Source organism: Homo sapiens, chromosome 7 (assembly GCF_000001405.40).
Source record: "Homo sapiens chromosome 7, GRCh38.p14 Primary Assembly".
Classification (NCBI taxonomy): Eukaryota; Metazoa; Chordata; class Mammalia; order Primates; family Hominidae; genus Homo; species Homo sapiens.
The window spans coordinates 68,770,873-68,783,685 of NC_000007.14; the positions used below are offsets into that span (position 1 = coordinate 68,770,873).

The following is a 12,813-nucleotide window of genomic DNA, read 5'->3' on the forward strand; positions in this document are numbered from 1 at the left end:
ACCCAGAGCTGGCAGGTTGCCAGCGCTGCCACGTGCTGCTCTGAGCTGAGCCTGTCATCCAGGCTGCAGCAGCAGTGTCTCTGTCGTCTCTGTCCCTGGAGTCCCCTATCACGCGTCACTGAGCCTGCGGGGTTAGGGGAGGCCATCAGAGTGCCAAGGGCCTGGTAGAACTGGATCGCTGGACGACACAGAGCGGTGGCTGACCAGAGGGCAGCCCACAGAAGCCAACGAGTCACAAGAGATGGGAACCCCCCAAACTTCCGGAAAGGCCCTTTATGGAGCAAAAACAGAAAGTGCCACATACTTCTCATCCTTCCTTTCCTTAAAGGGAGGCTGAGGCAGGAGGATCACTTGAACCCAGGATTTGGAGGTGGCAGGGAGCTATGATCGTGCCACTGCACTCTAGCCTGGGCATCAAAGTGAGACCCTGTCTCAAAAGAAAAAAAAAATCATCCAGGCGCGGTGGCTCACGCTTGCAATCCCAGCACTTTGGGAGGCCGAGGAGGGCAGATCACCTGAGGTCGGGAGTTTGAGACCAGCCTGACCAACATGCTGAAACCCCATCTCTACTAAAAACACAAAATTAGCTGGGCGTAGTGGCACATGCCTGCAATCCCAGCTACTTGGGAGGCTGAGGGAGGAGAATCACTTGAACCCGGGAGGTGGAGGTTGCAGTGAGCTGAGATCGTGCCATTGCACTCCAGCCTGGGCAATAAGATCGAAATTCCGTCTCAAAAAAAAGAAAAAAAATCACTATAGGCTCATGCACAAAGTAAGTAAAATGGCAAATGCCATACCTATATTTATTATATATTTGTAATCTGCTACCAGGAACTGATAATCTCATAAAAACTTTTATGGAGTACTTATACTATGCAAAGAAGCTTTCATATCCATCAGTCCCATTTAATCTGCACAGTAGTCTCTTAAGATAAACCGGGCAAATAGTATCATCCTCATTTTGAGGAAACTGCGTAAGTTACTTTACTACCGAGTCTCCAAATCCAACATCCAATAAACAGACAAGCGAGGATTCCAACACACGAACATATGGTTCAAAATATTGATAGTTCTCAATCCCAGCACTTTGGGAGGCCGAGGTGGGCGGATCACGAGGTCAGGAGATTAAGACCATCCTGGCTAACACGGTGAAACCCTGTTTCTACTAAAAATACAAAAACTTAGCCGGGCGTGGTGGCGGGAGCCTGTAGTCCCAGCTACTCAGGAGGCTGAGGCAGGAGAATGGCATTAACCCGGGAGGCAGAGCTTGCAGTGAGCCGAGATCCCGCCACTGCACTCCAGCCTGGGCAACAGAGCGAGACTCCGTCTCAAAAAAAAAAAAAAAAAAATTGATAGTTCTCAAACCTGGGTGTGCAGAACAAACCCACCTTACTAGTTTAAAATACAGATCCCTAGGCTGGGTGCGGTGACTGACGCCTGTAATCCCAGCACTTTGGGAGGCTGAGACAGGCAGATCACCTGAGGTCGGGAATTCGAGACCAGCCTGACCAACATGGTGAAACCCCATTTCTACTAAAAATAGAAAAATTAGCCAGACATGATGGCGGGAGCCTGTAATCCCAGCTACTCAGGAGGCTGAGGCACGAGAATCACTTAAACCCAGGAGGCAGAGGTTGCAGTGAGCTGAGACTGTGTCACTGTACTCCAGCCTAGGGGACAGAGCGAGACTCTATCTCACAAAAACAAAAAACAAACAAACAAAAGACAGATCCCTATACCTTAACCCTAGGGCCTTAGAGTCAGTAGATGTGGGTAAGTACCCAGGGATCAGCAATTTTAATCATTCAGGAAGCTCATGACAACCAGGTGATTCTGAAGCAGGTATTCAGGGATATGCAATTTGAGAAATGTTGTCCTGGAATCTAAGAAGAAAGATGAGCAGCAGACATCCCAGCCCTTATAAATTTACTATCCAAGCTGAACTGAGCTGTCACAGTAGCAACTAGCCCCGTGTTTGGCTGTTGAGTGCTTGAAATACGGTGAGTGGTACATGTTGAGATGACATTTGGATATATTAGGTTAAATAAAATATGTCACTGAAGTTAATTCCACTGTGATCCCAGCACTTTGGGAGGCCAAAGTGAATGGATCACTTGAGGTCAGGAGCTTCAGACTAGCCTGGTCAACATGGTGAGACCTTGTCTTTACTAAAAATACAAAAATTAGCCAGGCGTGATGGCGTGTGCCTGTAATTCCAGCTACTCAGGAGGCTGAGACACGAGAATTGCTTGAACCCGGGGGGCAGAGATTGCAGTGAGCCCAGATCGTGCCACTGCACTCCAGCCTGGACAACAGAGTGAGACTCTGTCTCAATAATAATAATAATAATAATAATAATAATAATAATAATAATTCCACCCCTTTCTTTTTACTTTTTTAATGTGTTTACTAGACAATTAAAAATTACCCATGAGGCATACACTCTGCCTCGACAAGACAGCGCAGGTCTGCAGGAGTTCAAGGGTTGTATGAATGGCAGATTTCAATACTTTATGACAAAGAAGATTCGGTGACTCTAGGAAGATGCCCAGGAGGTGTTTTCCCCTGCCCAATCTAGTCTCAGGGATAAACAAGGACACAGAGGAAAGGTGGGAACGGCTGCAGAAGGAACGGCCACAGTGGCAATCAGCCAGGTGAGGTGACTCATGCCTGTAATACCAGCACTTTGGGAGACCGAGGTGGGCCAATCACCTGAGGTCGAGAGTTCAAGACCAGCCTGACCAATATGGAGAAACCCCATCTCTACTAAAAATACAAAAATTAGCCGGGCATAGTGGCAGGCGCCTGTAATCCCAGCTACTTGGGAGGCTGAGGCAGGAGTATCGCTTGAGCCTGGGAGGCAGAGGTTGCGGTGAGGCGAGATAATGTCATTGCACTCCAGTCTGGGCAACAAGAGTGAAACTCTGTCTCAAAAAACAAAAAAATTAAAATTAAAATTAAAAAAAGGAACAGTGGCAATCGGTGATGGCTTCAAAGCATTTGGTGTAACTCTGAAGGGAGCAGAGATGATATGGGAGTAGCAAGCTGGAGCCTGTCAATGAAGACTTCGATGCCATGCCAAGAAGCCTGAAGATGATCTAGAGAAAACTGCCAGTCACCAAGGGAAAAAGGAAAAAAGAAAACAGCAAGATCAAAATTGGCATGGAGACCGTTCACGCTGGCTGCAGTGGGAAGGATGGATTTAAAGGACATGAAATTTCTATCAAAACAACTTAGGGCCGGGCACGGTGGCTCACGCCTGTAATCCCAGCACTTTGGGAGGCTGAGGCGGACGGATCACCTGAGGACAGGAGTTTGAGACCAGCCTGATCAACATGATGAAAACCATCTCTACTAAAAATATAAAAATTAGCCAGCATGGTGGTGGGCACCTATACTCCCAGCTACTGGGGAGGCTGAAGCAGGAAGATAGCTTGAACCTGGGAGGTGGAGGTTGCAGTGAGCCAAGATCAGGCCACTGCATTCCAGCCTAAGTGACAGAGTGAGACTCTGTCTCAAAAAAGGAAAAAAAAAAAGAAGAGAGAAAAAAAAAAAAACCACTTAGTCAGTGACAACAATAGACCAGTAAGTGAAATAAAGACCCAAATTAGAGTAGTGCTTGAAAGTTCGGAGAGTAAGCCACAGAACCAAGAAACTCAAGAAATCCTTTAGGAGAGGTAAGCTCGGTGGCGTGTGCCTGTAATCCCAGCTACTCAGGAGGCTGAGGCAGGAGGATTGCTTGAGCCTAGGAGTTCGAGGCTGTTGTGTGTGATTATCGCACCTGTGAAATAGCCTCTGCATGCCAGCTTGGGCAATATAGACAGACTTTGTCTCTAAAAACAAAATAAAATAAAATTTACAAATGAAGAAATAAGAAATGCTTATGAGATAAAAATTGGCAAAGCTTGCTGTCTCTGAGACTCCACTGAAATCCAAAGACATAAATAGATTGAAAGTGATAGGATGGGCTGGGTGCAGTGGCTCACACCTATAATCCCACCACTTCCGGAGGCCAAGGTGGGTGGGTAATTTGAGGTCAGGAGTTCAAGACGAGCCTGGCCAACATGGTGAAACCCCGTCTCTACTAAAAACACACACAAAAAAGAAAAATTAGTCAGGCGGTAGTGGCACGCACTTGTCATCCCAGCTACTTGGGAGGCTGAGGCAAGAGAATCGCTTGAGCCTGGAAAGTGGAGGTTGCGGTGAGCGGAGATCATGCCACTGCACTCCATTCTGGGTGACAGAATGGAGAAAAAAAAAAGGGGAAAGTGATAGATTGGAAGAAAATACTGTATGCAAATAATAACCAAAAGAGAGCAGGGGTGGCTATACTAATATTAGACAAAATAGACTTTCAGTCCAAAAAGTTTACAACAGGCAAAGAACATTATATGTTAATAAAAGGCACAATGCAGCAAGAAAATATAAGGATTATAAACATGTATGTACCTCATAACAGACCATAAAAATATACAAAGCAAAAACTGATAGAATTGAAGGGCGAAATAGACAGTTCTACAATAATAGTTTGAGACTTCAATACCCCATTCTCAATAATGGGCAGAACAATCGGACAGAAGATAAGTAAGAAAATAAATGACTTGGCTGGGTGTGGTGGCTCATGCTGGTAATCCCAGCACTTTGGGATGCCGAGGCAGGTGGATCACGATGTCAGGTGTTGGAGACCAGCCTGGCCAACGTGGTGAAACCCTGTCTCTACTAAAAATACAAAAATTAGCCACGTGTGGTGGCACACACCTGTAATCCTAGCTACTCAGGAGGCTGAGGCAAGAGAATTGCTTGAACCTGGGAGGCAGAGGTTGCAGTGAGCCAAGATCACGCCACTGCACTCCAGCCTGGGCAACAGAGCGAGAGTCTGTCTCAAAAAAAAAAAAAAGAAAGAAAGAAAGAAAATAGAGGACTTAACACAATAAACCTACTAGATCTAACAGACATATACAGAACACTCTATTCAACAACAACAGTATACACATTTTTCTCATTGTACGTGAAACATTTTCCAAGACAGCCCATATGTTAGGCCACAGATTAACTCAAAATGTGTTATATACATTCAATAGAATATTATTCAGCCTTAAAAAGGAAGGAAATTCTGACATATGCTATAATATAAATAAATCTTTTTTATTTATTATTTTTTTTTTAGACAGAGTTTCACTCTGTCTCCCAGCCTGGAGTGCAGTGGTGCTGTCTCCAGGCTGGTCTCGAACTCCTGACCTCAGGGGATCCACCTGCCTCGGCCTCCCAAAGTACTGGGATTAAAGGCATGAGCTACCGTACCCAGCCAAATAAATCTTAAGGACATTATGCTAAAAAAAAATAAGCTGATTACAAAAGACAAATACTGTATGATTCCACTTATATGAGGGAATTGACATAGTCAAATTCATAGAGACAGAAAATAGAATGGTGGTTGCCAGGGGCTGGCATAGGGAGGATGAGGAGTTATCGTTTAATGGGTATAGGGTGAAGGAGTTAAGGCTGTGTCACCCCAAAATATGCCCAATTTGCATATTGATTATTTTGATTTGAAGACATTGGAGAAACTGCAGTTTCAGAAAGGGCTAGCTGACTGTCTCTTCCTGCATGCAGAAAGCCATAAAGATTCCTTCCGCATACCAGAAGGAGAACACAGCCCTTATTACCAGAGACAGGGAACTGAGCACTGCATTGGACCTGAATAAATAAACTTACCGAAGTAACCCTTATCTTCCACTAGTTCTGCACACTTCCATGTATCTCCTAGTGACTCCTAGAAATTTACTGTCCCTGGCCTGATCTCCTATGTCCTGTCATTTCTTCTCTAATTTATCCTTCTTTGTCTAAAAAGTATAAAAGCATCTTGCTTTGACCACTTCTTCAGACTTCACTCCCTTGTAAAGATCCCGTGTATACGTAAAACTAATAAAATCTGTACATTTTTCTCTTGTTAATATGCCTGGTGTCAATTTGGTTTCTAGATCCAGCCAAAGAGCTTAGTAAAAGCTAAAGGAGGGTTGAACGTGGTCTCTGGCTCAAAGCTTTCCTTTTTTTTTTTTTTTGAGACAGAGTCTCACTTTGTCGCCCAGGCTGGAGTGCAGTGGCGCCATCTCAGCTCACTGCAACCTCTGCCCGCTCCGGGTTCAAAAGATTCTCCTGCCTCAGCCTCCTGAGTAGCTGCGACTACAGGCGTGCACTACCATGCCCAGCTAATTTTTGTATTTTTTAGTAGAGATGGGGTTTCACATGTTGTTCAGGCTGGTCTCGAACTCCTGACCTCGGGTGATCTGGCCGCCTTGGCCTCCCAAGGTGCTGGAATTACAGGAGTGAGCCACCGCGCCCAGCCAAGGGATTCCATTTTGCAAGATGCAAAGAGTTATGGAGATGGATGGGAGAGATGGTTGCACAACAGTGTGAATGCCACTGAACTGTCCACTTAAAAATGAACATGACTGTAAATTTTATGTTACGTGAATTTTTCTACATTTAAAAAAATGGGGGAAAATGTTGGCGGAGTTGGGTGATTCACTGGATACGGGGAATGGGGGAAGGACTCTGGGCTTTGGTGATGGTGAGGGTGACTGGTGACCACACAAATTGAGCCTGGAGGCCGGGCATGGTGGCTCATGCCTGTAATCCCAGCACTTTGATAGGCCGAGGAGGGCGGATCACCTGAGGTCAGGAGTTTGAGACCAGCCTAGCCAACATGGTGAAACCCCATCTCTACTAAAAATACAAAAATTAGCCAGATGTGTTAGCGGGCGCCTGTAATCCCAGCTACTTTGGAGGCTGAGACAGGAGAATCACTTGAACCTGGGAGAGGAAGGTTGCAGTGAGCCAAGATCGCGCCACTGCACTCCAGCCTGGGTGACAACAGTAAGACTCCATCTCAAAAAAAAAAAAAAAGAAAAGAAAAAGAAAAACAAATTGAGCCTGGGATCCCAGGAGGTAGAGCATGTATCTGCCCATTTGGAATAAGACGATAAATTTAGTCATTTGCAGGTTGCACAATAAGGTTGCACAATATATGACTTTCAAATACACGTATCACTATTGAATAAGTTGGAAATGTGAGCTGGACGTTCAGACACGAGTAGAATGTTATTAATATTTGGGGGTCATTTGTGCAGAGAGTAATCCAGACCCCAGAGTAGATGGAGATCACAATGGGAGAAGCCAAGTACAAGCCTAGAGCCAAGTACAGAATCCTGGGTCATAGCAGTGTTTGTTTCTGAAATTCAGCATTGTTCAGCCTAAATAGTACCACACACTCATTTGATTCATGTCTACCCTACTGGCTCAGGTGAGCTCATGGGCCCAGGACGGAAGTCATTTCTGAGACATTTTCCTGTATTGTTATGGGATAGATTTGCACATATGGACTTGCCCAGGTAAACTCAAGAAGAGTTAGGAGGCCGGACACAGTGGCTCATGCCTGTAATTCCAGCACTTTGGGAGGCCAAGGCCGGTGGATTTCTTGAGGCCACAAGTTTGAAACTAGCCTGGCCAACATGGTGAGACCTGGTCTCTACTAAAAATACAAAAAACACTTAGCCAGGCATGGTGGCACATGCCTGTAATCCCAGCTACTCAGGAGTCTGAGGCAGGATAATTGCTTGAACCTGGGGGTGGAGGTTGCAATGAGCTGTGATCGCACCACTGCACTCCAGTTTGGGTGACAGAATGAGACTGTCTCAAAAAAAAAAAAAAGTTAGGAAAAGACATTATATTCCTCTGTTTCTAGAAATCATTGTACAATTTTTTCTTGTTGGCTGAAATTGCACAGAAAAACACAATGCAACTGAGGTTTTTCCATGTCTTTTCAAGTCTCTTAATAGAAGGGAAGTTTCAGAGAACAGAGATACATATTCAAAATTCTTTTGCATCTTCATCCTACTCCTGCCCTCAGGGATTAGCAGAGTGACAGACAAGTAAGAAAACATCATCTTGAGAAGTAGGCTTTCTGTTTTTTCTTTTTTCTCCTTTCTTTCTTTCTTTTTTTTTTTTTTGAGATGGCTCTGTCACCCAGGCTGGAGTGCAATGGCACCATCTCGGCTCGCTGCAACCTCTGCCTCCCAGGTTCAAGTGAGTCTCCTGCCTCAGCCTCCCGAGTAGCTGGCATTACAGGTGCCTGCCATGACACCCGGCTAATTTTTGTATTTTTAATAGAGACAGGGTTTCACCATGTTAACCATGCTGGTCTGGAACTCCTAACCTCAAGTGATCCGCCCACCTCGGCCTCCCAAAGTGCTGGGCTTACAGGTGTGAGCCACCAGGCCCCGCCAGAGGTAGGCTTTCAATAAATATTTGCTCAAAAAAAAAATCTATACCCCCATGAACATATGTTGCAATTATAACAAATGAATGGATGACTATTCTGTTAAGTGCCCTTGGGCTATATCAATAGAGTATTAAAATAGTTACCAACTATTAAAGCCTCCCTAAGGAAATCCACCCTGTCCTATGATTCAAATAACACCTGAGACAGTGACTTCCAATTTCTTATTTTCATAATTTTCCCTTTAAGTTCCAAAGATGTGTACCTTATTGCCTACTTTGAGGTTTCTACTTTGATGTGTAGAGGGAATCTGAATTAACATAATCAACACAGAACTGTTGACTTTTTTCTTCAAATTCGCTCTTCTCTTTTCTTCCCTAGTTACTGAACCATTTGGTTCAGTAACTCAATTCTTCTAACTCAAACTCAATTATTCTATTTCTTTTATGTCCCCATATCCACCCTAGTAGTCTAAATTGTTCACTCACCCTCATTGTCAATGCCACCTCCCTTGTCCAAGTCACACCATGGACTATGACAATGACAATGGCCTTCGAACTGGCCTCTCTGCCTCTTCTCCTGACTCCTATAGTTCATTCTTTACTCTTTAGCCAAGGAGACCTTTTTAAAATGTAAATCATATTGAGTCACTCCTCACCTGCTTCGTAGTCCAACTTCCTTTATTTAAAACCCTCCAGTGACTTATTGAATTTGAAACAAAATCCAAACTCCCGACTAAGACTTCCTTACAATATCGACCCTGATTTCAATGCTGATATTATTTCCAAGCATTTTCCCTACTTTCACTTTTTCTCTAGCCCTTCTTCCTGCATGAAATATTATTCACATGACTGACTCCTTGCTATTTATAATGCAAGGTAAATGACACCCTCCTCAAAGGTACCTTCCCCAATCACCTAAACTAATTTTAGCCCATACAGATCAGCTCTACCATATATTAAAAAATAATGCAAAACATCTATAACTAAAACAGTGTGGCCCTTGCCAATTAGTAGACAAATAGACCAATGAGACAGAATAAACAGCCTAGAAATCTGGGCATGGTGGCTCATGCCTGTAATCCCAGCACTTTGGGAGGCCGAGGCAGGCGGATACCTGATGTGGGAGTTTGAGACCAGCTTGACCAACATGGAGAAGCCCAATCTCTACTAAAAATACAAAATTAGCCAAGTGTGGTGGCGAATGCCTGTAATCCCAGCTATTTAGGAGGCTGATGCAGGAGAATCGTTTGAACCGGGGAGGCAGAGGTGACAGTAAGCTGAGATTGCACCATTGCACTTTAGCCTGGGCAACAAGAGGTAAACTCCGTCTCAAAAAAAACAAAAAACAAAACAAACAAACAAAAAAAAATAGCCTAAAAATAGACCCATCTCCATATGGAAATTCACTATATGAGAAAGACCCACCTCAAATTTCTGGGGAAAAAATGACTTTGAAATTCAGCGATGCTGGAATAACAGAATAGCCATTTGGAAAAAGGTAATAATGAATTCACACTCACATTATGCACCAGAATAAACTCCAGATAGATCAGAGCTACAAATGTAAAAACTAAAACCATCTAAGTACTAAAAGAAAATATGAGTGGATCTCTTCATGGCCTGAATGTAGAGAAAACCCTTGTAACTCCGACTCAAAATCCAGTTGCAATAAAATAAGATTGATTGGCCAGGTGAGGTGGCTCATGCCTGTAATCCCAGCACTTTGGGAGGCCAAGGCAGGTGGATCACCTGAGGTCAGAAGTTCAAGACCAGCTTGGCCAACATGGTGAAACCCTGTTTCTGCTAAAAATACAAAATTAGCCAGATGTGGTGGTGGGTACCTGTAGTCCCAGCTACTCGAGACACTGAGGCAGGAGAATCACATGAACCCGGGAGGCGGAGGTTGCAGTGAGCCGAGATCGCCCCACTGCACTCCAGCCTGGGTGACAGAGTGAGACTCAGTCTCAAAACTAAAATAAAATGAAATAAGGTTGATCAATTCAACTCCATCAATTTTTTAAAAACTTAAAAAAAAAACTTAAAAAATTTTTAAAAATACTTTTGCACATGTATTGCCGCATAACAAATCAGTCCAAAACTCAGTAGTGTAAACCACAATTGTTCATTACAGCTCTGTCATCTCTGGGTCAGCTAAAATGAACCGGGCTCTGCCAGGCAGCCTCTCCATTGGGCTCACTTATGCACTTATCGAGTACTGGAGGTTGGCTGATCTGCATTGGACTCAGCTGGGATGCCTCTATTACATGCATCTTTTCCTCCTTGAGCCAGCAAAAGAGCTGACGCATATTCTTCTCAAAGTGAAGTCAGAGATACAGAGAGGATAATGACAAAAAACTACCTATCAGGTACTATGCTTATTACCTGGATGATGAAATAATTTGTACACACAATTTATCTAGATAACAAATCTACACACATGTACTGCTGAACCTACTATACACGGTTTTAAAAAGTAAATAATAAATAAAAATGATCTTCCAGCCATCCAGAGGTTATGCTTTTATGAAAGCAATTGAGGGCTGGGAGCAGTGGCTCACGCCTGTAATCCCAACACTTTGGGAGGCTGAGGCAGGCAGATCACGAGGTCAAGAGATCAAGATCAGCCTGGCCAACATGTGAAACCCCATCTCTACTAAAAATACAAAAAAGTTATCTGGGCATGGTGGCACACACCTGTGGTCCCAGCTACTCGGGAGGCTGACGCAGGAGAATCAGTTAACCTGGGAGGTGGAGGTTGCAGTGAGCGGAGATTGCGCCACTGCCCTCCAGCCTGGTGACAGAGAGAGACTCCGTCAAAAAAAAAAAAAGGGAAAAATAAAGCAACTGAGGCCACAGGTCCTCCAAGAGATCCAAAGACAATCTTTAAGACCAGGTGCAGTGGCTCATCCCTGTAATCCCAACACTTTGGGAGGCCAAGGCAGAAGCGTCTCTTGAGGGCAGGAGTTCAAGACCAGCCTAGGTAACACAGCAGACTCTCATATCTACAAAATAAAAAAAGACATTTTTTAAAAAGACCCAAGAGAATGAATGGCTGGGCGTGGTGGCTCACACCTGTAATCCCAGCTCTTTGGAAGGCCGAGGTGGGTGGATCACTTGAAGTCGGGAGTTCGAGACCAGCCTGACCAACATGGAGAAACTCTATCTCTACCAAAAATATAAAATTAGCCAGGCGTGGTGGTGCGTGCCTGTAATCCCAGCTACTTGGGAGGCTGAGGCAGGAGAATCGCTTGAACCCGGGAGGCGGAGGTTGCGGTGAGCGGAGATCGCGCCATTGCACTCCAGCCTGGGCAACAAGAGCGAAACTCTATCTCTAATAATAATAATAATAAATAAACAAGAGAAACAATTAAATTCTGAAGCGACAGAACAATTATGCACCAGCAAGATTTTCGGTAGGTTGTACAGTAGTTTCTACCATACATAGAAACTGGAGAAAACCCAGAGGAACTCATATGTTTGAAGGAGTCAGAACAGTTTATTACTAAGCATATAAAACCCAGTCAATCTTCTATTGTTCAACCCTTAGTTCTCATTGACCAGGAAGCCCCCTGACCGATACTGGGTGTTGTTGAATGACTTGAACAGCACAGCCACAGAAGGTCCTAATATATCCTGGGCATTAGCATCAAAGGGTCCGGATTGTCCCAGACCCAATTTGAGAAGGAGCAAGAACCCCTCTGAGGCACTTGTGGGCGCCCCCATGCATGGAAATAAAGGAGAATCCTGAGTTCCTTCCAGGGAAGTTCCAGGTACCTAGCTAGCTAGCCCTGAGAAGTGCATAAGCAACTCGATAAGCAAGAAGGTAATTGTAGCTTAAAACAACATCGAAGGAAGCTGGAGACACGAGATGCCTTGTTCCCTATAGAAACGAAAGATAACATCTGAACATATGTCCCTGAGTTGTTTTTCAGAAACGTGGACCCCACCGAGTGGATCCCCTGGCACACAGAACTCAGATAAGGGGAAAATGAGAACCGAAACCTGACCCCTCCGCACCCCCCATCCCCCCACCCCACCCCCACCCATTCTTTGTTCTGAGTTTCTTCCTAAGGAGCCTGGAGGAGGTCTTACCCACAGGCCAGAGCTAGCATTCTTTTCTGCTGACCCCAAATTTTTACTTTATTTTATTTTATTTATTTATTTTTGTTATTATTATTTTTTGAGACAGAGTCTCGCTTGGTTCCCCAGGCTGGAACGCAGTGGCACGATCTCAGCTCACTGCAACCTCCACCTCCTGGGTTCAAGTGATTCTCCTGCCTCAGCCTCCCCAGCAGCTGGGACTACAGGTGCCTCCCACCACACCTGGCTAATTTTTGGTATTTTTAGTAGAGACAGGGTTTTGCCATGTCGGCCAGGCTGGTCTCGAACTCCTGGCCTCAAGTGATCTGCCCGCTTTGGCCTCTCAAAATGCTGGGATAACAGGCATGAGCCACCGCGCCCGGCCCGACCCCAAATTTTTAGGTAAATCTTCGCCTCCTTAACCAGTCACAAATCAGAAAAATCTTTGAATCC

The 12,813-nt window shown here is 44.7% G+C and overlaps 1 annotated feature.

The window, feature by feature from the left end:
• Positions 6,200-6,382: a silencer, noted in NCBI's record as "fragment chr7:68242059-68242241 (GRCh37/hg19 assembly coordinates)". NCBI's record gives its function as "represses an EF-1alpha promoter that drives an FKBP-Casp9 reporter gene in an ReSE screen in HepG2 liver carcinoma cells {active_cell/tissue: HepG2}" and the evidence as "EXISTENCE:reporter gene assay evidence [ECO:0000049][PMID:32094911]".